Source organism: Homo sapiens, chromosome 14, assembly GCF_000001405.40.
Source record: "Homo sapiens chromosome 14, GRCh38.p14 Primary Assembly".
NCBI classification, from domain to species: domain Eukaryota; kingdom Metazoa; phylum Chordata; class Mammalia; order Primates; family Hominidae; genus Homo; species Homo sapiens.
Window position 1 is genome coordinate 50830124 of NC_000014.9, and position 23487 is coordinate 50853610.

Here is a 23487-nt window from a genome sequence, read left to right on the forward strand (position 1 = left end):
CAGCGTCTCAATCACAAGGCTGTACGGGCGGCACATGCCAACGGAACCACCACCCCTTCTGCTCCCTCGGGGACTCAAGCCTGCTCTCGGTCAAAGCACAGAAGCGGCTTTCAGCTCCGGGCAGGCGGCCGGGGCGTCGGGGGTACTGGAAGTGCCCAAACCCAGCGGTGCTGCCGCGCGGGGAAGCGGAGGTGCGGCCGCAGGACAAGCGCGCCTCCCAAGTCCCTGGCCACCTGCGATGCGTCCTCAACTCGCCTGCCCATCGCCACTACCAGAAACCTCAGACAGCCCATTGTGTGGGCAGGCAGCGCGCTCCCCCGGCCCCGCCGCCCTCGCCTACCTTCTGTCGGTCTCTCCGGAGCGCCCGCACAGCCGGCAGCCCGCCTCCAGCGCTCTGCAAAGCGAAGGAGGACGCTTTGTTAGGGCTGGAGAAACGGGACAATACTTCGCAGCCGGCGCAGCGGTTCCGGGCGGGCGTCCTTCAAAAGGACGCGAATGGGGACCCGCGTGAGCGTCATTTCCATATGTAAGGGGCCAGCTCTTACAAAAGCGCGGCTCTCGGGGGCCGCGGGCTGCAGCGCGCATCCTCCCCGCCCCCGCCGGCCCGCCCCCGCCCGCGCAGCCCGCGCCTCCGGGACCGGCCCCTCCTCCCGCCTCCGAAGCAGCCCCGTCCCCGCCTCGTCCTCCCGCCCGGCCGCTGCTTCCTCCCGGCCCGCAGGGATTGCGCCCCGCTGGCCCCGGACCCCAAATGGGAAGCCCCCGAGTGATCCGGTGCCCAGTTCGCTCCGGGCTCTCAGGGCCTCGCCGACGGCGCGGGGGCAGCGCGAGGCCTCCGTGCACCCCCAGGCCGTGGGTCCGGGTCCCCGGGGTTGCGCCACTTACTGCGTCCCGGGGCTCAGGCGCCCGGCGCCGCCGCGGGAACCATGGCCGCTGGCGCACTCCGGGCTTGGCGGCGGCAGCGGGACGGCCGCGCCCAGCGCGCTCGGCTCCCGGCTCGGCCGCGGCCACCCGGAGCTCTGGACGCCGGGGAGGAAGGGCCGGGCCCGCGCGGGGAGGAGGAGTCAGGGCGACGCCGGCCCCGGCGCGGCTCCTCCTCTGCGGCCCGCGCGGCTCAGGCAGCGGAGGGAGGAGCGGGCGGCGCCGCCTGAGCCCTCGCAGACGCGCCCTCCCGCTCCGAGCGCCCGCCTCCGAGATCTGAAGTTAGAAACGCCGGGGCTCCGGGTGCGGGTGTAGGAGGCTGGCGCCCCGAGGTCGCCACCGAGCTGGGGCTGGCGCTGCCACCCTCGCCCCTTGCCTGTCCGCCTCCCTTTCTTTCCCAACACGCCTACACTCACCCGCACCGCGGACACTCGGGCCGCAGCGTCTTCGCGCAGAGGAAGGGCCCCCGCCTTCAGCAAGCGGGACTTTAAGGGGGTGATTTCCCAGCCCTCGGGTGTCGATTGGCCATCAACATTGGAAAGGGTGTTCAGGAGGCAGAAGGGCTGTAGAAGTGACTCGGAACCCTGTAGAGCGAGCGCGACCCTCCTGCCGGGTCTACACTGGCTTCCGCACCTGCCCACCACGTCCTCACAGGCTCCCGCCCCTGTGCAGCCTTCTCCGGGTGAAGCTAACCCTCGGTCGCAAGCCACACAGGACGAAAACTCCTTGGAGTTGGTGGTTCCCAGCCCAACAGTTGCTCGATATTAATCGCCTCCTACCTACTACCCCAGAGTCTGCGTTCTCACTCCCCCATCCCTACACTTCTGATCTCATTGCAGTCAAATAGGATCCCAAGTCCAGGCCATGGTTCTTTTTGAGCTGCAGGGTTAAATGTGTTGCCCTTGAAGGATCCGCCTGATGGATTACAACCCACAAGTCTGGTTATTTTAGCAGGAAACTGGTGATTCCTTTTCTACCGAGAAAGCAAGCAACAGACAAGAGGAAACCAGCATTCCTTGAGAATCCAGTGCGCTAGAAACTCGACAGAAATTATCTTATCTAATTCTCACATCACTCTTAGGAGGCAGACATTATTTTGCAGATGAGGAAAATGGATCTCCCAGAAGTCAAAGAGCTTCCTCAGGATCACACAGCAGGAACTCCACAGAACTGAGATTCAAAAGCAGATCACATATGTGGCAAAATTGCATAGAACTGAATATACACTCACAAATGAGAGCACGTGAAACTCATGAAATTTGAATAAGACATTTGGACTACACTAATGTCCATTTACTGATTGTAATATTGTTCTACAGTTATGCAAAATGTTACCATTGAGAAAAATTAAGTGAAGCGTCTATAGGGAATCTCTCTATTATTCCTTACAACTTCAAGCGAATTTACAGTTACCTCAAAAAATTTTTTTAAAAATTTTAAACATCTCAGTCTTATTCAAAAGCCCAGGCTCTCTTCTTTCAACACGGTATATAAGCGTGCCTGCAGAATAAGAGAGATTTATGCTCCTCTCTCCTTTTTAAACAGTCTTGAATAAGTACACATACACACACAAACACACACTCATACACTGTATGCATGGTTGTTCAGTCATCCAGTAATATGATACAACACACACACACACACACGCAGTTCATTAAGAGGATAGCTAACCTGTTACCAGAATACTTACATAGAGGTCATCTTGTAAGACAGACAATAATGCTCACTGGGCACTAAAACAGCCAACAGTCTTGGAAGGTAAGAATGAAGAGGTGTCTTTCTTGTTTCACCTAATCTCTGCCATGGAAGCCTCATCCTACTGGTTACCTCTCCAAGCATCGCTTTTTAACCTGCAAGAATCCTTAAGGATGATATTGATCATTAGTTTAAAACAGTGATTCCTGGGGGTCAGGGGATATTGGAAGTGGCATTCACTCCCTGTGCAGGAAGATCAGAATTGCTGGGGGTTGTGTAATTTGAAAAACACAAGATGCGCTTTCTTGAGAGGAGTAAGTGGGGTGGAGTTAGCCCTGGGACTGGGAACTGGGATCACCTCCAGCCTTGCTACAAAGGAGGGAAAGCATGGAGCATGGTTACCGCGTGGTGTGGGTTGGCAAGAGCAACTCTACCAAGAAAGATGATTTATTTAACACAATGGGCCTGCAGTTTGGTTTGCACTGAGCACATGGTTAGTCTTAGTCCAAACTGGAGTCATGGGAAAAAAAAGCAGAGACTTCCTTTAGAGCCCATTACTTGATCTTTTCTCTGTTAAACACAAAATAACAGCAGAAGTAGCAACCAGGCTCCAGTTCTACATTATAACCAATATAAGAGAGAAAAGAAGAAATGTAAATATTTATTCAGAGTTATCACCCTTTACAAACAAAACTTCACTCTTATCTGTTGCAGCTTATCTGACTCTGATTTTTACTCTCACTTTACAAAGAACCTTGTTCAAGGACCTAGGATCCTTGAAGTATTTGTACGTGAAGTTTTTGAAGGGTTTTCTGCCATATTTCACAGTACGGAACTGGCTTTCTCAGATGGTTAAAGCTCTAAAACGTTAACTAAAGAATAATCCAGGGAAGAGAAAGTTACTCTTTGTTTCTTTTCTTTCTTTTTATTTATTTATTTATTTATTTTTTGAGATGGAGTCTTACTGTGTCGCCCAGGCTGGAGTGCAGTGGTGCAATCTTGTCTCACTGAAACCTCCACCTCCTGGCCTCCTGCGTTCAAGCGATTCTTCTGACTCATCCTCCCAAGTAGCTGGGATTACAGATGTGCACAACCACATCTGGCTAATTTTTGAATTTTTAGTAGAGACAAGGTTTCACCATGTTGGTCAAGCTGGTCTTGAATTCCTGACCTCAAGTGATCCTGCCTCGGCCTCCCAAAGTGCTGGGATTACAGGCGTGAGCCACCACGCCTGGCCTACTCTTTGTTTCTTCTTGAAGTAATTTTGAAATTATCAGTTTAGAGTCAAGACGACAAATGAGAGAGAGAGAGAAAAAGAGAGAGAAAAAGTCAGGCTTTGTAAATTTCCTGGAACCTGAAAAGTTATTTTTTTTTTTCTTAGCCAAAAAAAGGCTCTAACCAAACATAGTCTACCCTCTCCCAACTCACAGTTGGGTATAAACTATTTTTTATTCACAGAATAGTCAAACAGCCTGTCACTCATGTAGCAACTCCTGGCTCCTTCTAAACTTCTTTAATCGATATCTTTCTTATTTCTGTGACCATTTGAACTCAGCAGGACAGTTTTCAGGCAAGTTGCAGAGCTGTGTCAAAGACAGCCAGATTGTTAAAGTAGATGATCAGTTATAGTTTGGCCCAGGAACTCACTCGGTGAAAGAAAGGGACATCAATGATCTCCCCAAGGCCCTAAGGAAAATGAATGAGGAAAGGAAAAAGGGAGAAATTTGAGTTCCAGACATACAAGTCAGGGACTTAAGAGTTCCAGCAGCAAAATGTTGGTGGTTAAGAACCCAGGAAGAAAGAGGAAAAGTATAGGAAAGGGAAGGGAAGGTGACAGAAGGCAAACTGATTTACACTTTTGCCCCTGGGGGACACCTATTAGAAATTAGGATTCTCTATTCATTTTCCTTATGAAGAAAATGAAAGAAGAGGAAACCAGGATTCCATACAATTTATTTTTTTAAAGTAAGCATTGATTGCCTACCCTGTGCCTAATACTGTCCTGAAAGTCACACAATGTTCAAAATAAACATCAGGCTGGGCATGGTGGCTCACACCTGTAATCCCAACATTTCTGGGGGCTAAGGTGGGTGGATGGCTTGAGCTCAGGAGTTCAAGACCAGCCTGGGCAACACAGTGAGACCCCCCTTCTCTACTCCTCTTTTTTTATTAGCCAGGCTGGGTAGCACGTGCCTCTGGTCCCAACTTCTCAGGAGACTGACATAGGAGCATCGATTGAGCCCAGGAGGTCAAGGCTGCAGTGAACAACGATTACACCACTGCACTTTAGCCTGGTGACAGAGTGAGAACCTGTCTCAAACAAAACAAAATGAAGTAACAATCAACCTTGGTTCTTACCCTTGAGGAATGCATCATTCTCTTTTGGGAAGGTAAAAATATGCACTCATGAGACAGTAAAGGAGTGATGTTAGGTGGCATTGGACTCTAATTACATTCTCCAGTTGGGGGACATACACACGCTACAGCATGGGAAGAAGAGAGCAATGATTTCCCTAAAACGTGGCTTCCATTTGATCATTCTGACCATTGCTTTTCACTTCAGGTCCTAGATCTTTTTCCTGACATTCAAGGTCCTTCCTGATCAATGCAAAGGTATGTATCCTCAGTGTCTGCAGGAAACCTACCCTCCCTCCACTCTGCTCATGTGGACCTTCTAATCTTCCCTCTGCTGCTCTTTCAGCCCAGATCATCAGTCCTCATGTGTATTGAATGCCTTGTCTCTCTGTTCATTGTTTGGCGCAGCAACTGAAGCATAGCAGGAAGTGGTTATTGCACATGTGTCTTTTGGATCCCATGGGCTGAGCACTTAGGTACTTTCCAAATACTTGGCATTCACGTGGAGAAGAGATGTTGCATATGTATACATGGGATGGGTGGGTGGGGGGTTGATCTTTACTTTTGGAATTATCCCTTTTCATGTGGCTGGATGCTGGCAATGGTCTACTGTTTTAAAGACTGCAAGTGCCAAAGGACTGCCACTGTAGCTTCATTTGAAGGGGGGAGGAAATGAAATGTTACTTTAAGAAACATTGGCGTTTGCACCCTCATTCACTCTTCTTTTAAATTTTATTTTTATTTATTTTTTTCATTTTTGGGGGTGGAGTCTTACTCTGTCACCCAGGCGGGAGAGCAGTGGTGGCATAATCTCAGCTCCTCCACTGCAACCTCTGCCTCCCAGGTTCGAGCAATTCTCCTGCCTCAGCCTACCAAGTAGCTGGGATTACAAGCACACGCCACCACACACAGCTAATTTTTGTATTTTTAGTAGAGATGGGGTTTCGCCATGTTGGCTAGGTTGGTCTTGAACTCCTGACCTCAGCTGATCAGCCCATGTCGGCCTCCCAAAGTGCTGGGATTACAGGAGTGAACCACCACGCCTGGCCCCTCCCTCATACGCTCTTAAACACTTAACAAATATGACATGAAATCTTTACTTTTTTGTTAGAATAGTTTTGAATGGAAAATTAAACATTTTTCCCCAAGCAAGACTACTTTGAATTCTCTAGAGTTTGATGTGCACACAAAAGAAATGGCAACCCAGAACCATACATTTTAAAACATTTCTGTTCAGTAGAAATATAATGTGAGCCACACATGTAGTTCAAAATTTTCTAGCAGCCACATTTAAGAAACATGTAAAATTAATTTTTAGATTTTATGTAACCCAATATACCCCAAAATATGATCACTTCAACATGTAATCAACATAAAAAGTAGTAATGGGATATTTTACATTTGTTTTTGTTCTAAGCCTTTGAAACCTGGTGTGTGCTTGGCACTTGCAGCACATCTCAGTTCAGACCAGCCACACGGGGCTACTGGCTGCCACAAACGCAGTGTCAGAACAAGAAGAGGATTCGGAATCTGTCCAGCCCAACTCCATTATGGTTAAAGGAAAGCTGTGTTCAGGAAGGTCTGCTGCCCCGCTCAGGATCACACAGTGGATGCATGACAGCCTTAGGCCTGACCTGTCCACCTCAGCACTCGCCTACTGAGAGGGCTCATGGCTGACTCAGACAGCTGCCATGGAATGAAACCCAGTGTTTACTAACATTTTTAAACAATCACCATCCTCTAAGTCATTGGCCCCTCAAAATATGGTTAGACATACAATTTCTAAAGAAAATAGCCCAATATATACTATTTTGTTTTCTTTTTTCCCTTTCTTTCTTTGTTTCTTTTCTTCTTTCTTTATCTTTCTTTCTTTCTTTTTTTTTTTTTTGAAACAGAATCTCATTCTGTTGCCTAGGCTGGAGTGCAGCAGTGCAATCTCGGCTCACTGCAACCTCCGCCTCCCAGTTTCAAGCGATTCTCCTGCCTCAGCCTCCAAAGTAGCTGGGACTACCTCGCCCAGCTAATTGTCGTTGTTGTTGTTGTTGTTGTTGAGACGGAGTTTCACTCTTATTGCCCGGGCTGGAATGCAATGGCGCAATCTTGTCTCACCGCAACCTCTGCCTCCTGCGTTCAAGCGATTCTCCTGCCTCAGCCTCCCATAATTTTTGTATTTTTAGGTACAGACAGGGTTTCACCATGTTGGCCAGACTGGTCTCAAACTCGACCTCAAGTGATCCGCCCACCCCAACCTCCAAAAGTGCTGAGATTACAGGCGTGAGCCACCGCACCTGGCCCCAGTATATACTATTTTAATACTTAGAAATGACAACCCCGTAGGCCGTTTGTTAAAGCACACCCCACCCGTTTTTGACTCAGCTGTATTGGCATCTGAAGGGTACCAGCAGAGGGAGGGTTGGAGGCCAAGAAGGCAGTAGCTGCTGGGCCTTGCCCGTCCTCCAGGAATGCGTGGAAGGAGTGCTTCTCCGTCCTCCATCCTCCATCCCACCCACATCAGCTCCTGCCAGCATCCCAAGGACCCAAGCTGTCTGCCATGATTAGTATCAAAGGCCTTAAAATAACTGAGTGACCTTTTTTTTCCACTCTACACACTTTGTAGTGCTTTATATTCTGAATCAAGCCAAAGCCAAAATCCAAGAAAAGTGACCATTTCAAAAACAGAAAATGAGCCCACTAGGAAGAGAGCATTGCTTTCAATAATGAGAACATTTGGGAGTAAACTGAATAATGAGGACATCTTTGCACCTGGACTGATGAGAAAACGATTAGATAGGGCATTACAAAAAGCAACATAAAGATCTTTGATTTGCATTTGTTGTCAACTGTGAGAGAATGGGTATAATTCTCTAAAGACGTAGTTTAGACCTCTTTGTACTAAAATATAAAGTCAAAGTGATGATAAATCTTATGGCAGTGGGCTCTGTGAGTCATGTTTCACTCTACATAAAATGTCTTAGAGGCTGAAGTGCTGGGGCTATCCTGATACCCAAATGCCATACTCAGACTTAAATAAAAATGTATTTTGTCACTTGATTTTTGATGTCCCCTTCTCACACATCATGCAGCCTATCTCTGGGTCCCTCAATGTGCAAACAAATAATATAGAAGGAGACAAGGTCAGCAGAGAGAAAAGTAGTGTTTATTTAGGTGTATCTGGTCACAGGTCAAGATCAAGAACCAGCCAAACTGTGTGTGTGTAAGATAGGTAGGCAAGTGTGCTGCTGGAAAGCTTCTGTTTGTCCCTTCAGATCCTCTCCCTACTCTTCTCCACCTGCTGTGTGCCCCAAGAGGCTAACCCTAGATGTACTACATTAACAGGCTCCCTCAAGCCCTAGTTCCCATTATGTTCAGCTGATGGGGTAGCGCTGACAAGATTGGAGGCAAGATGGAGCATAAGGTTGGTGCTAACTCCTTGCAGGGTCTCTGCAGGCTGGCTGCAACCTGTAAAGTCACAGCTCCTGTCTCACAGCCTCTCCACACATTTCTGTCACCAGCTTGCAAAGCCACACTCTCCTTTTACCAGTGAGGCCTAGAGTTGGCAATGGCACATCCTGGTCCTAGCTTCCAGGTGGGCACTTATCCTTGTCTCTCTGAACCCAGTCCACACCTTTGGAAATAGTCCCTTTATTACTACTCTTTCTCCAAATACCTACTTTGACTTTATCCACTATTTCCTTCTGAGACTTTGATTGATAAAGTAGGCACGCATATGTTCCTTGTTCTAGAAAGAATTTCTGTTTTCTTTATTAGCAGGATACTCGAACTTTTCCATTGCCCAGAATCATCACAGGTCAGTTTCCCAGAAGCAGATCCCAAGACGAGAATTTGTACATGAGTTATATGAAAGATGTGTTACAGGAGAGACCTCCAAGGGGGTATGTGGGGAGGCAGGAGCAACACAGGGAAAGAAGGAGGGAAAAAGCCAAGTGCAAGTGTTATTCAGGCAGAGTCCCAGTCTCAGCCTATTGCTGACTGGAGCTCTGGAGCATATATTACACCTCAGAATTTTCCCAGACTTGATTCGGGGGAGCTGGGCTTTCAATTTCCTGTACCAGTGACTCATTGGCTGTGGGCATCTCAGGGCCACAGTAAGCTCCCAGGCACTTTCAGTTCTCTGTGCAAACAGGTGAAATTCAGTAGTTCAAGGGCAACCCTCTGAAGATAGTTGCAGAAGCTAATCATTAGAAAGCAAAATACACTGAAGCTGGGGTGTGGGCACACAGAACCAGCAAAAGAGATTCAAGGTCATCCAGGCAGAGCACCATCAATTTATGCCTCACATGTATCTCCTGGAATTTGAAAGTATCTAGGGAGGGGAGATACACTGAGTATCAGTTGACTATCAATTAATTATCAATTAACAACAGAATTATTGGAAGACAGGAAAGAGTTATCTCCGATGCTAAGGGAACGCACCCTTTGAAAAAGCACTGCATATTAATCAAATGGTATTTGCTTCCAATGGACTCAGTTAATATACTTTTAGTAAAAATCAAATCAGGGTCCATAGGCTTTTTAAAAGGCAGAGGCATCTGTTGGAATCTTAGCTACCAGATGCAGGTATGTTCCATGGTATGTGTGCATGTGGTTGGTGGTGGTGGTTGCGGGGAGAGAGGGTATCAACACTTGCCATTTTCCTCTGAAGCTTCTAACACTTGGAAATTTGTCACAGAAGATTTTCTCATCTGCAGTTCAAATACTTCTCAGCAGGAATTTAGCTGAAGTTGAAATCACCATCTGGCATCTCATATTGAACCAGGTTCTTTGTGTGCCAAGAGCTTCTTCTTTTGGCAATGACGTTGACTGTGATCTTTCAAAAATGTTTCTTGGGTTGGCATTCTTGACTGAACAGAACAAGCAGCCTGTCTTGGAATTTAGGAAGAGATGTGCTGAGCAAGTTTTTGTCCCAGGAATAAAAGTGCGAGGTGAAAAGTTGAAGATTTGAGGTTTTGAATCTCCAGAATTCACGTTTTATTGTCGTTGACCTAAAACCAGCTAGGGAAAAAAAATCCTGCAAAACGATTAGTAGAAGCAAAATGTTGCACAAGGAATATTCCATTTGAATCAATAAATCCTATTTAAGCAATTTCCAGGTGCAAAGTGATATCCTGCCTGCTGTAGGGACATGAGGATGACTAAGATGCAGTCTTTGCTCTTAAGTACTTCAGCATCCACTGGCTGGAGGCAGGGGATGACAGTGCATGATTAGGTGGATACAAGGCAGACTATACTAAGAAGCATAGCTGACATCGTCAGCCTCCTCCCAGGTACTCTGGGATGTCTTTTACCATTTCTGTGTGTTCTTCCATCCACTCTGAAGTGCTTTTGCTGCCATTGGCCTGCACCTGCGACTCTCTTTTGGTGGCTGCCCTTGGGCTGCTGTGTACAAATGCATGCAGAGAGCAAGAAGTGCTTGGGAACTGAATCTCTAGCTAGTGACTGCTCAGTGTGGGAGAAAGCAAGCTCAGCTCCCTTGTCTTAGAGAAGGACATCAATTAATGTCCAGAGTTCCCCTATGGAATTGAGCTGGGCTACTCGCCTTGGGACTTTCACCAAATTTCTCACCCTTGCTTGGTCTCTTTCTCTTCCCTGTCTTACTTCCCTCATTCACTTGCCAGACTCTTTGGGGAGCATTCCCTTAACAAAACCCTTCCCTACAAATCCTCCTCTCATGAACTGCTTCTGGGAACCCAATAAGGGGCACAATAGGAATCTGAACAGAATGCTATGGGAGCACAGAAAGGAGGGATTAGTTCTGCCTGGAGAACAAGGAAGTTTACGTAAAAGGAGAGAGCATTTGAGCAAGGCCTTGAGACGTAATTTGGAATTTGCCAGACAGATAGAATTAAGAAATGTCATGATAAATCTGGGGGAAAATACGTTTATGAAGGAATAATCAAGGTAATGATGACGAGTGATAGGAGATGAGGTTGCTAGAGTTGGTTGGGATGAACTGAAGAAGAGTCTTCAATGCCATTAAAGAGTTTGACTTTTAAAATCTAAAAAAATGGCAATAGTAAGCCATTGTAGGTTTTTGAGCAGGGGAGAAATATGATAAATCTTTTGGGAAAATAATTGAACAAAAATACAAAAGATGGAGAATATACAAAAGATGTGTTGGAGAATAAGAGACAAATAGTGGAAGCCAGTTTGAGGGTCATTGCAATATTCTAAGAGGGGATGATGAAGGCCTGACTTAGAGTCCTTGACATGAGAATGAAAAGAAAATGGCAGCTCCAGAGATTGAACAATTGTACTTGGCAGCTAACCGGATATATGAGGCAATAACGTGAGAAGTCAAATGTGGCTGAGGTGTTGGTCTGGATCACAGTGGATAATGGTGCCATCAACCAAGAGAGAAGACAGGAGGAGAAAGTCAGGCTGAAGAAAAGTCAATGAATTCATTTTTGAAAAAAAAAAAAAAAAATCCCCAATGACTCAAATACATTTGAATGGAATCAAAGTAATCTGAGAATGAAGAACAAACAAAAAAAGTCAGAATATTTGGATACTCATGAAGTTCTTGTTCAATTGTAGAACAAAAGCCTGGGCACAGTGGCTCAGGCCTGTAATCCCAGCACTTTGGGAGGCTGAGGCAGGAGGATTGCTTAAGCCAGGAGTTTGAGTCCAGCCTGAGCAACGTAGTGAGACCTCATCTCTACAGGAAAAAAAAAAAGCCAGGTGTGGTGGTGCACACCTGTGGTCCCAGCTACTTGGGAGGCTGAGGTGGGAGGATCCTGTGAGTCTGGGAGGTTGAGGCTGCAGTGAGCAGAACTGTGCCACTGCACTCCAGCCTGGGTGACAAAATGAGATGCTGACTCTTAAAAAAAACATTAGAACAAAAAGATCCTTTTAAAAATTAGCTTTCTAAGGCCGGGCACGGTGGCTCACGACTGTAATCCTAGCACTTTGGGAGGCCAAGGCAGGCGGATCACGAGGTCAGGAGATCGAGACCATCCTGGCTAACATGGTGAAACCCCGTCTCTACTAAAAATACAAAAAAATTAGCCGGGCACAGTGGTGGGCACCTATAGTCCCAGCTACTCGGGAGGCTGAGGCAGGAGAATGGCGTGAACCCGGAAGGTGGAGCTTGCAGTCAGCCGAGATTGCGCCACTGCACTCCAGCCTGGGTGACAGAGTGAGACTCCGTCTCAAAAAAAAAAAAAAAAAAAAAAAAAAGCTTTCTAGACAGGAATCAAAACGACGAAATTAACAACAGAAACCTGGACATCCTATAAGAATAGGAACACTTAGAATTCCGAATCCAATGCTTCAGTTTCATCATGATTGTACTTTGCTTATTGAAAGTAGAGTGAGGAGTCTCTACGGTCTAAGGATTGAATCTAAAATGTTAAATCTGTATGGCTGTTTGAAGCCATCTTTGAAAGCAGAGTCCTATGACAATAGTGCTGAAATCAAGAAGAAAAAATAGTGCTTTTAGTGTTTACAGACTATTATCTGTGTAATGTGACCAGTTTTTGTAGAGGGGCTTTGGAGTAATAGTCCCATCAATGGACAGTGGTCATTTCCCAGCCTTTAATTATTTCTGTTCATTTGCTTATGGCTATGGCTCTGCATTGATTTTTCTTTCTTCTTTTTGAGACAGTCTTTTATTTTTATTTTTATTTTTTGAGACAGAGTCTCTGTCACCCAGGCTGGAGTGCAGTGGCACAATCTCAGCTCACTGCAACCTCCGCCTCCCGGGTTCAAGTGATTCTCCTGCCTCAGCCTCCTGAGTAGCTGGGGTTACAGGCGTGCACCACCATGCCTGGCTAATTTTTGTATTTGTAGTAGAGACAGGGTTTCACCATTTTGGCCAGGCTGGTCTTGAACTCCTGACCTCAAGTGATCTGCCCGCCTTGGCCTCCCAAAGTGCTGAGATTACAGGCATGAACCACCGCACCCAGCCTGCACTGATTTTTACAAAAATCAATTTGCCCATGTGAGAATTGGCATCCCTGCCTTGCCTTGACATTTTAAGCAGCACACAATTAGAAGAAAAAGCACAAGTCCAAATTGTTAAAAAATGTTTTAGTTTGAGGAAAAGTCTACTTCATACAAGACACATTGTTTCAAAAGCCAAATGAATTAGGGCAGCAGAGAGGACTTGCTACTCTGTAACAATGTTACATTTAAATTCTCTTTGAGAACACTTAATGCTTAGAGCCTCTACCACTTCCTCCTATCCTAGGCAAGAGGTAGATTTAAGAAGTCAAGTTATGCATGAAAATAATGGAGGAAGAGAAGGTAAGAGAAATAGAAAGCAAGAGAAAGAGGTCATTGCTTGTGTTTATTCGTTCAATCACTTCTTGCTGCCCTTCTTTCTTTCATCCTTCCCCCTGTCTCTCCCTTCCTCTCCTACTTCCAGGAATGATTGAATACATACTGTGTGCCAGGGACTGTACTGGAAGCTAGAGATACCACACTAAACAAGTTAAACATACACGATCTCTACTCTCATAGAATGTAAGTCTATCATACTTGATTTCAGATTCTATGTGTAAATAAAAGATTATCACTTTTTCTTCACCCTTGTTCTCTCTCTCCCCTTCCTATTGTATATTAAAGCATATTGGGTTCACCCATTTGTTGGGCAAATGTCCTAAACATAACCCAATTAGGCTGCCTTCATCTGAAATCCAACTCTCCCACTTAATAGTTATGTACGTTTGGTCAAGGACTTGTTGACTTTCCATCTCTTCATTTATAAAACATACTTAATAATAACACATGCCTCATAGGATGTTGTGAATATTAAAGAGTCAATTCATTTAGAATTTAGAATGGGCTCTTGGACACAGTGAGTTATCAATTGATTTTAGCCACTACTGTTTTATATTATGCACAGGAATAAAAAGATGAAACAGATTATATTTTCAAGGAGCTTACAGTCTTGCAGGTGGAGACAGACAGGTACACAGATAAAGGCAATAAAGCATGGTAAGTGTGATGGGTGAAATGATGAAGAATGTAGACTCTAGTCAGGGGGCCACAGAGAAGGGAGTGGTGAATTCTTTTGGTCAACTCTTTTGAGACGGATGTAATATCAACCCAAAGTAGTTTCTTATTTCCCTGACCCTTTGGTAAATGATCCTTCCCTATTAAATGCCTGTTTTGACTGCTTTATTTGTCCATAATTGTTCCACTGTAAATTAATTACGTAAGCACAAATGAAGGCTTTTCACTAATGGACATTGTGGTCCCTCTTTATTTACACTCTGAAAAAAGGACCTTCCCATAATTGGTGAAATAAGGTTACATTTGCCTGATTCTTATGCTCAGCGCCATATTTCTTATAGAAAACAGAGTTGCTCCTACAAAGGGAATACAGGTCTTTTCTTACCCCAGAAGGTAGTCAAGGTAGTCTTATTCCTTTTGCCAATGACTGGCTAAGTCATGGACATATGATTTCATTGCAGCTAATGGGACCCAAAAGGAAGTAAGCTGGGGTTCTGAGAAGGATTTTCTCAAAACTGCAAGAGTAGTTTTGTGATGAGTCACGTGATTAACTGTGATGAGTTTTGGGATGAGACCCTGGAATAAGTGCTGGACACAGTGCCTGAATCAGACTGTGGAAATATTAATGTATTTTATTTTTACTTATTTATTTATTTATTTATTTATTTTAGAGACATGGTCTCACTCTGTTGCCCAGGCTGCAGTGCAGTGGCACTATCACAGCTCACTGCAGCCTTGAATCCTGGGCTCCAGCCATCCTCCCACCTCGGCCTCCCAAAGTGCTGGAATTATGGGCATGAGCCACCACTCCTGGCCTAATTTTTAAATTAAAAACAAAAAAAAAACAAAACAAAACAATATGAGACTAATGGAGGAAACGCTACTACCCTTCTCTGGATATCGCTGGTCTACCCGTGATGCCCGGCACTGCTGCAACCATCTTGGAACTATGAAGGGAGATATTGCCGGCATCTTAAGGATGGTAAAGTAGAAAGATGGAAGTAAAGTGCATCCCTGAAGGCATCTTTGAGATGCCAAATTTACCTCCTTGGGCCTTGATCCACCTCCAGACTTTTTGTTGTGTGAGAAAATAACCCCTCAATTATTTAAGCCACTTTTAGATGGGTTTTTTGCTTTCAGTCAAATCTTTCCTACAGAAGCCTGTATTATTGTCTCCAAATATTTGGGGCACTTCCCTGCAGGAAGATTGTACATACTCTCCCTTTTAAGCCCAGGCCTGGCCATGTGACTTGTTCTGACCAATAAAACATGAGTAGTGTGATGGGCCATTTCCAGGTAAAAGCTTCAAGAGTCAATATGTGGTTTGACGTGCTTCCTTTCCCCTGACCCTGTGATCGGGGAAGCATGCTGAGGTGGAATCTCCTTTAGCCTTGTTTCTCTATGACTATGATAAGCAGGGCTTTCTTGTCCCTCCCACAACGGACAAGTGGAATGGACAAGAAATAAACTTGATCATTGTTGCTGCTGAAATGTGTTGTTCTTGTTATCACAGATAAATGCAGTCTATATTGACTAGGAGACATCCTAAAATTTGTAGTACTAAAAACAATGAAGTGAAGGCAAGAGCTTGAGATGCAGGACCTTAACCCTGAGTTGCCAGGAAACTGATTGGGAGCAGTATATGTCAACGACTGAACAGATATTGGAAAGGACAGACTCATCTCTACCCACGCCATACACTTCCTGGTTAGTGAAATGAGCCTTGGAACAGTAAGTAATTTAATCCAAATTATGCTTTGAAAATGGCTTCACTTCAATGCATTATTCAGAGTAAATTAATCACAACTTATTAAGTGTCTCTTCAGTATCTCTGACAGTCACCTCATCACTTTGCCCCACTAACTTTTTTTTTTTTTTAATATAATGACCTTTCTATGCATTACCTTTACAACCCACTCAACGGACACCTACCTAGGGGCTTTTGGTAATGGCTTAGTGATCACGTGCACAAATATTAAATGAGGGTGATGTGTCAGTCGTTGGGACAAGAGAATGATGATGATGAGATAGATAGCTAATATTTATATAGCACTTGTTGTATACCAGGTTTTATTCTAAACACCTTGCATATAGTAATTCCCTTAGTCCTCACCTATAATGAGGCTGGCATTATGATTATCTCTCTTTTATGGATGAGGAAACAGAGGCACAGAAATATTAAATAGCTTGCCCGAGGTAATGCGACTAAAATGTAGTGACACTCGGATTCCACTCCAGGCAATTTGGCTCCAGAGTTGTGTTCTAACTCTGATGATTAACCAAGCGGGGAGAGGGTTGTTCTTGGGGCAGCAGTTCTTGGAGAAACAGTTCTCTGTGGGGCCAGAAGTTAACAGTCTCATTGAGCTCCACCTGACTTGAATCCTAGCTGGGTGTTGTCTCACAATTTGCAAAACATGTCTATGAACTGTTTTCCTCAGCCATAGGCTGATGCTACTAATAGTTCTGTTCTCTGAGAGTGGCGAACAGTTAAGTAAATGAATCATGTAAAAGTCCCAGTATTGAGCTGGGCCCTGATTACTGTCGACTCCATGTTACTGGGGCTGCTGGAGGTTTACGGAGTAGACCCTCAGAGGTGCAGAAGTCTTGGGCATGCAAAGAGTCATGCACAAGTATGAAAAGAATTTCTCTAGGAGCCTGTAGGAGGGTATGAATCATAAGGCCTGGGAACAGTTAGCTGGAGAGTTACTTCTGGGCTTTGCAGACACAGCAGTGACTGAGATGCACTTGGTGCCCTGGAACGGATGGCTGGGTAAGCCATTTGGACCAACTGTGATTTAAAAAGGGTAGGCCAGGTGCGGTGGCTCATGCCTGCAGTCCCAGCATTTTGGGAGGTCAAGGCAGTTGGATCACAAGGTCAGGAGTTCAAAACCAGCCTGGCCAACATGGCGAAACCCCGTCTCTACTAAAAATACAAAAAATTAGCTGGACATTGTGTCGCGCTCCTGTAATCCCAGCTACTCGGGATGCTGAGGCAGGGGAATCGCTTGAACCCGGGAGGTTGCAGTGAGTCAAGATTGCACCATTGCACTGTAGCCTGGGTGACAGGGTGAGACTCCATATGAAAAAAAAAAAAAAAGAAAAAAAAAGAAAAAATTAGCTGGGCATGGTGAAGAGCACCTGTAGTCCCAGCTACTTGGGAGTCTGAGGCAGGAGAATCTCTTGAATCCAGGAGATGGAGGTTGCAATGAGCAGAGATCGTGCCACCGCACTCCAGCCTGGGCGACAGTGAGACTCTGTATCAAAAAAAAAAAAAAAGGGTTGGGAGAATTTTTCTGAGGCACAAGATGGGTATGTGGATGTACATATGAGTAGGGAAGTGAGGGAAAGGGGCTTGGATCTAAAGTTGTTTCAGAAAAGCTTTGGAAATGTAGCTCAAGAGAGATAACATTTAGGGAAACTGAAATGATCTACCAGCAAGTCGTATAGGTTGTATCTCTAAAATATATTTTAAATCTGAACACTTCTCACCATCCCCACGGTGAGCACTGCTAGCACCTTCCCTAAGGTCGCCATAGTGTCTCCCTAGGCGCCTGTGTTAGTCTCCTAACGGTCTCCCTGCTTCCATTCTTGTCCCTTCCTTTACAGCAAAAAGTCAAACTGTTTTTTCTCTACTCACACTCAACACAGAACACTTCTGGTCACAATGATATGTGAATTTTTCCCCACCAACAACCAATTCTCCAAATACCAGCTGAGTGTCCTACAATTCAGGTCAATTCTGCCACTAACTGGAGTTAGTGCAGATCTCCAAGTTCCCTATGGCACAAATCCACAAGACTGCCCCCCACTTCAGATGCCAATTGCAAGTCATAGGTTGCCAAGTTCTGCACAACTTGGCTGCAAATCAGAGGCTCCAGTGACCCCCTTCTGGGGTTCAATAATTTGCAAGAACAGCTCACAGAATCCAGGAAAACAGCTTACTTACCATTGTCTATTTATTACAAAGGATATTTTAAAGGATAAAATGAGCAGCCAGATGAAGACTTACATGGGCAAAGTTCAGAAGCGTCCTGAGTGCAGGAGCTTCTATCCCTGTGGAGCTGGGGTGCGTTACCTTCTCGGTAAGTGGATGGGTTCACCCACCTGGAAACTTGCCCAACCTCTTAGTTCAAGGATTTTTATGGAGGATTCATCATGAAGGCATGATGGATTGCTAACTCAATCTCCATCCCTTCTCCCATTCCTAGAGTCTAAAGGGTAGGGCTGAAAGTTGCAAGCATCTAATCATGGCTTAGACCTTCCAGTGACCAGCCCCCATGTAGAGGCCACCAAGAGTCACTTCATTAGAACAGAAGACTGTCCTGTTACCCAGGAAATTCCAAGGGATCCAAATGATTAGGAACTCTGTGTCAGGAAATTACAAGGGTCTTAGAAGCTCTGTGCCAGGAACTGAGAGCAGAAAATGTGTGTGTGTGTGTGTGTGTGTGTGTGTGTGTGTGTGTGTGTGTGTACCTATATTATTATTTATTCTTTTTTGTAAACCTGAGATCTTGCTATGTGGCTCAGGCTGGACTTCTGGGCTCAAGCGATCCTCCCTCTCAGCCTCATGAGTAGCTGGGACTACAAGCATGTGCCACCATGCCTGGATCAAATACATGTATTTTTATTATGTACACTGCCTCTTCCATTTGCCTCATGGTAGACAGAGTGATCTTTTAAAAATGCAGCCAGTTCTTGTGGCTTCTTCTCCTTAGAATAAAACCCTAATTCCTTGCTACATAATCTGGCCCTGCCTCACTCCTGGATCTCATCTCTCACTAGCCCCACTCCTGCCTTTTCCCCACACTCTAGTCCCAAGCTCCTTCCTGCTTTAGGGTTTCTGTATTCTCTGGTCCTTCCTTTGCCTGGAATACTCTGCCCATGCATCCCCCCACTACCACCCTCAGCTCTTTGCAAGGCTAGCTTCTTCCCCCACTCTGGTCTTGATCCAGATACCACCTTTTCCAATTTCCTGACCACCTTGTCCCCTTTCTCTCCACAACTCGCTCTCGGCCACTAGCCAACCCATTGGCAGATTTTGTTTTCTTCATAGCACTCATCACTATCTGAAATTGTCTTTGTTCATTTGCTTGTTTATGAGTTTGTTTCTGGTCTTCCCTATTTGACTAAATGGCCTTTGTTTGCCTGATTCATGGCTGTATCCGTCACCTAGAAAAGTTCCCAAATGCATAGAGGCTTCATAAATCAAGAAATAAGTAATCCAGGCTGGGTGTGGTGGTTCACACCTATAATCCCAGCACTTTGGGCGGCCAAGGTGGGTGGATCACCTGAGGTCAGGAGTTTGAGACCAGCCTGGCTGACATGGTGAAACCCCGTTTCTACTAAAAAAAAAAAAAATACAAAAATTAACCAGGTGTGGTGGCACGTGCCTGTAATTCCATCTACTCAGGAGGCTGAGGCATGAGAATCACTTGAACCCAGGAGGTGGAGGTTGCAGTGAGCCAAGACTGTACCGCTTCACTCCAGCCTGGGTGACAGAGCAAGACTCTGGAAAAAAAAAAAAAAAAAAGAAGGCCGGGTGCAGTGGCTCATGCCTGTAATCCCAGCACTTTAGGAGGCCGAGGTGGGGGGATCACGAGGTCAAGAGATCGAGACCATCCTGGCTAACACGGTGAAACCCTTCTCTACTAAAAATACAAAAAATTAGCTGGGCATGGTGGCGGGCGCCTGTAGTCCTAGCTACTCGGGAGGCTGAGGCAGAAGAATTGCTTGAACCCGGAAGGTGGAGGTTGCAGTGAGCCAAGATTGGGCGACTGCACTCCAGCCTGGGCAACAGAAAGAGACCCTATCTTAAAAAAAAAAAAAAGAAGTAAGTAATTTACATTTAATTTCCATCAGTAATATATTTCAAACAGGTTACTTACATGTCCCAGTGGAAAAGAGATAAAGGAGAAAAAATAATTTTATTTACATGTAATTGAATATTGATGCATTTTTTGGATAGTGCCAATAGAACAGTGATATTTGAACACAGTTTTATGAGGTTAATCTACCCCTAGAAAACCTGAAATTACATATGGCTCAAAATAAATAAGTTTTTCATAGAAAAGTAAAACCCAGGAGCCACTATTGATAGGTTCCTATGTTAAAATACTATGAAAATATAAAATTAAATATTATGAAAATGTAAAATGTAAGCTACAATGTTTCTATAATAAAGAACTTCTAGTTAGTAAGGACAGAGAATACAATGTCAAAATCTAGCTATATATGTATATAGAAGTATATATATACACATCATCAAGTATGTATGTATACAACGATAATATACAATTGTACATGCAATGGTATATACAGCATTGTATACATACATACTTACTAAGTTTTTTGAAAATTTCAATGGTACAGAGTGTTTATTTGGAGTCCAGTAATATATTAACAATATGTGAGCATTAGTTGCATTTGCTGATTTGTCTTTTAATTCAGCATTTTTATATTTTAAGATTCTTAATGGAGGATCCTCTGGGATATACTCATTTTCTAGTTCACATATGACTAAATGTGGTCATATTTGCTGATTGTGTAAAGAAATAAATATTAATTCTGACTGGTTTTGAAATAAGAACCCTTGGGGCACCTCTTCTTCCTTCCATTTTTAGATACCTCTGTTATAGGCTTTAACACTTGGGTGGAAGTGTTTTTAAAGGAGCTTATGAAGATTTGGAAAAGATTTTATTTTTAATATCCCAGATTGCATCCTCTGCATTGGGTTGGTTTTGTTACATGTGCTCCATCTGTCTCAGAGATATGAAAACTCAGTAGAGGAAAAATGGAAAGGGCAAAATTGTTTGCCTTGTTTTATAAAATTTCTGAAAATTATTTCATATGTAAGCTCTAGTGCATGGATTCCTTCACTTCTAACTTCCACAACACTACCCAGGTGCCTGTCAATCTGCCAAACGAGGTGCATTGGCTCCAGGCGCTTGTGCCTTTCAAAGCAGGGAAAGGGGATATTGCTTAGTTGTCTCCTGGTTGGAAAGTTCACAGGATGGAAAGCCTTTTACCCAGCCACTACTTTGAAAGAGATCAGTAAGGCTTCTTATCACTTCAGGTGAATTTAATGAAATGCACATATTAGTTCTTTTATTATGAATTTCCTCAAAGGAGAATATAATCAATTTACTTGCAGGCTACAGTTGATTTGGGATTTATGATCTCTTTCTTCAATGTTTCAAGCTAAGTACTGGATTTTTTAAAATATGAAAAAAAATTTCTCTCCCTATCCCAGCTATACCTGGCAGTGAAAAAAGTTGAAATTTTGCTTCTCACTAGACATTGCATGTAATTTCAACCTCCTATTATCTTTTTTTTTTTTAAGTGACCGGAGAACAAAAAACTACTAATGTTTTTTGTTTCTCTGAAAATCAGCTGGTTACATCTAATTGGAGCATTTCAATGGATTGCGTGTCTGGGAGATTTAAGTGCTTTTTTCTCACCCTACCATTATTCACCATTATATTTATGTATTTATTGAGTGTCTTGTAGCCTTGCAATGTGAACATCTGGAGACTAAAGATCTTCTATGATGTATGTAGCACTGAATAAGATATGGATTCTTCAGTAATATCTCAAAAGGGACTTTAATCTGGAGCTATAAAATTCAAACTTTTTTGGTATGTGTTGAATTGCAAATGATTCTTTGAACAGAATCAACCTTCAACAAGCCTAACTCACAATCCCCAACTTTATGAACCTACCAAATTGAGGTGATGTTACCATCTTGGTTTGTTAATTTTAGGAGGATTGCTATTTTAGATTTTTTTTTTATTTTTTATTTTTTAGACTGAGTTTCACTCTGTCGCTCAGGCTGGAGTGCGGTGGCACGATCTCAGCTCACTGCAACCTCCACCTCCCAGGTTCAAGCGATTCTCCTCCCTCAGCCTCTTGAGTAGCTGGGATTACACGTGCCTGCCACCAAGCATGGCTAATTTTTGTATTTTTTAGTAGAGATGGGGTTTCACCATGTTGGCCAGGCTGGTCTCGAACTCCTGACCTCAAGTGATCCACCTGCCTTGGCCTCCCAAAGTGCTGTGATTACAGGACTTGAGCCACCATGCCTGGCCTAGAATTACTATAAACAGAGTATTTTCAATCAAAAGTAGATTGTTGGAGAAGGTGACATTTAAAGCTGGCGTTACAGTTTGTAGGTTTTACAAATCATGGCTCTAGCTTACAAATGTACACATTAGTGCCTATTCCACATAATATCAGATTTTCTCTTGTCCTGTGACTCATCTTAGAGCTCTACTCACTTGTCATCAATATCTCCTATCCTGTTACAAGACCTGGTCATCACCTATAATTGCTTCTCCTCTGAAATCTTGAACTTTGAAATTCCACTCTGTCCTCAACCCCATACCCTTTCCCTCCCCTACACCTTCATCCTGCCAAGTTTCAGTCTTTTTTTTTTTTTTTTTTTTTTTTTTTTGAGACAGAGTCTCGCTCTGTTGCCCAGGCTGGAGTGCAGTGATGCAATCTCGGCTCACTGCAACCTCTGCCTCCTAGGTTCAAGCAATTCTCATGCCTCAGCCTCCTGAGTAGCTGGGATTACAGGTGCATGCCACCATGCCCAGCTAGTTTTTGTATTTTTAGTAGAGACTGGGTTTCACCGTATTGGTCAGGCTGGTCTCGAACTCCTGATCTCAAGTGATCCACCTGCCTCAGCCTCCCAAAGTGCTGGGATTACAAGTGTGAGCCACTGTGCCCGACCAAGCTTCAGTCTTAACAAAGCATCTGACCTTCAGCCTTCCCATTGAATGACCTCCAGAACTCTTGGCTTGAAGGACAGTTCTTTGACTTGCTGGCACAGCCCACCAACAAATTCTCAATCTTGGATCCACCTACCCACCTGCTTTCCTTGGCTCTTTATATTACTGGAAAAAAAAATTACATAATTATACAGTCAGGTGCTCATATAGATTTTTAATTTCAAACCTCAACTGAACAGTCAAGATCATCTGAAAGTTTTTGATCATCCTTAGTTGGCTTTCTGTACAACCTGCCTGCTCTGAAACATGTGGGACTATGAATCACTGGCAGTTATGACAGAGCTAACTAGCTTCTTTTCTTGTTTGTGTTTTTTTGAGACGGAGTCTCACTCTTTCGCCCAGGCCGGAGTGCGCTGGCGCTATCTCGGCTCACTGCAAGCTCCTCCTCCTGGGTTCACGCCATTCTCCTGCCTCAGCCTCCCGAGTAGCTGGGACTACAGGCACCCGCCACCGCGTCAGGCTAATGTTTTGTATTTTTTTAGTAGTGACGGGGTTTCACCGTGTTAGGCAGGATGGTCTCAATCTCCTGACCTCGTGATCCGCCCGCCTTGGCCTCCCAAAGTGCTGGGATTACAGGCGTGAGCCATCGCGCCCGGCCGCTAACTATCTTCTTAAAAAGTATTTTCTCCCTGGATTTCATGTGAACCAGACTGTTCACATTTTTTGGTGTGTGTTCTCCCTCTCTTATTTTTATTTTCTTTTGCCGTTTTCAGGAAGTAAATAGGTTACTTTCTGGGAGGAGAAGTAAAGCGTT

At 44.5% G+C, this 23487-nt stretch overlaps 1 protein-coding gene and 1 non-coding gene across 32 annotated transcripts in view, besides 4 other annotated features; one reads left to right on the forward strand and one right to left on the reverse strand.

Annotated features, from left to right (window-relative positions):
* NIN (ninein) overlaps positions 1–1380 on the reverse strand; it is a 111741-nt gene extending 110361 nt beyond the window's left edge. For 30 of the 31 annotated variants that reach the window (XM_047431439.1, XM_047431453.1, XM_047431438.1 and 27 more), the window contains exons 1-2: positions 883–1039; positions 341–394 (exon numbers count right to left, since the gene is read on the reverse strand). The gene's annotated coding sequence lies outside the window, so the exon portion shown is untranslated. Of the gene's footprint in view, positions 1–340; positions 395–882; positions 1040–1334 lie in introns of those variants that run through there. The other variant, XM_047431452.1, reaches the window with a different exon arrangement.
* Positions 341–460: a silencer, noted in NCBI's record as "silent region_5729". NCBI's record gives its function as "represses an Ori minimal core promoter by ATAC-STARR-seq in GM12878 lymphoblastoid cells {active_cell/tissue: GM12878}" and the evidence as "EXISTENCE:reporter gene assay evidence [ECO:0000049][PMID:35858748]".
* Positions 481–530: a silencer, noted in NCBI's record as "silent region_5730". NCBI's record gives its function as "represses an Ori minimal core promoter by ATAC-STARR-seq in GM12878 lymphoblastoid cells {active_cell/tissue: GM12878}" and the evidence as "EXISTENCE:reporter gene assay evidence [ECO:0000049][PMID:35858748]".
* Positions 601–880: a silencer, noted in NCBI's record as "silent region_5731". NCBI's record gives its function as "represses an Ori minimal core promoter by ATAC-STARR-seq in GM12878 lymphoblastoid cells {active_cell/tissue: GM12878}" and the evidence as "EXISTENCE:reporter gene assay evidence [ECO:0000049][PMID:35858748]".
* Positions 931–1380: a silencer, noted in NCBI's record as "silent region_5732". NCBI's record gives its function as "represses an Ori minimal core promoter by ATAC-STARR-seq in GM12878 lymphoblastoid cells {active_cell/tissue: GM12878}" and the evidence as "EXISTENCE:reporter gene assay evidence [ECO:0000049][PMID:35858748]".
* Positions 14502–14589, forward strand: LOC124903423 (small nucleolar RNA U83B). Its single transcript, XR_007064405.1, has one exon. It is a non-coding gene; the product is annotated as a small nucleolar RNA U83B (small nucleolar RNA).
* The last annotated feature ends 8898 nt before the right edge of the window (positions 14590–23487 follow it).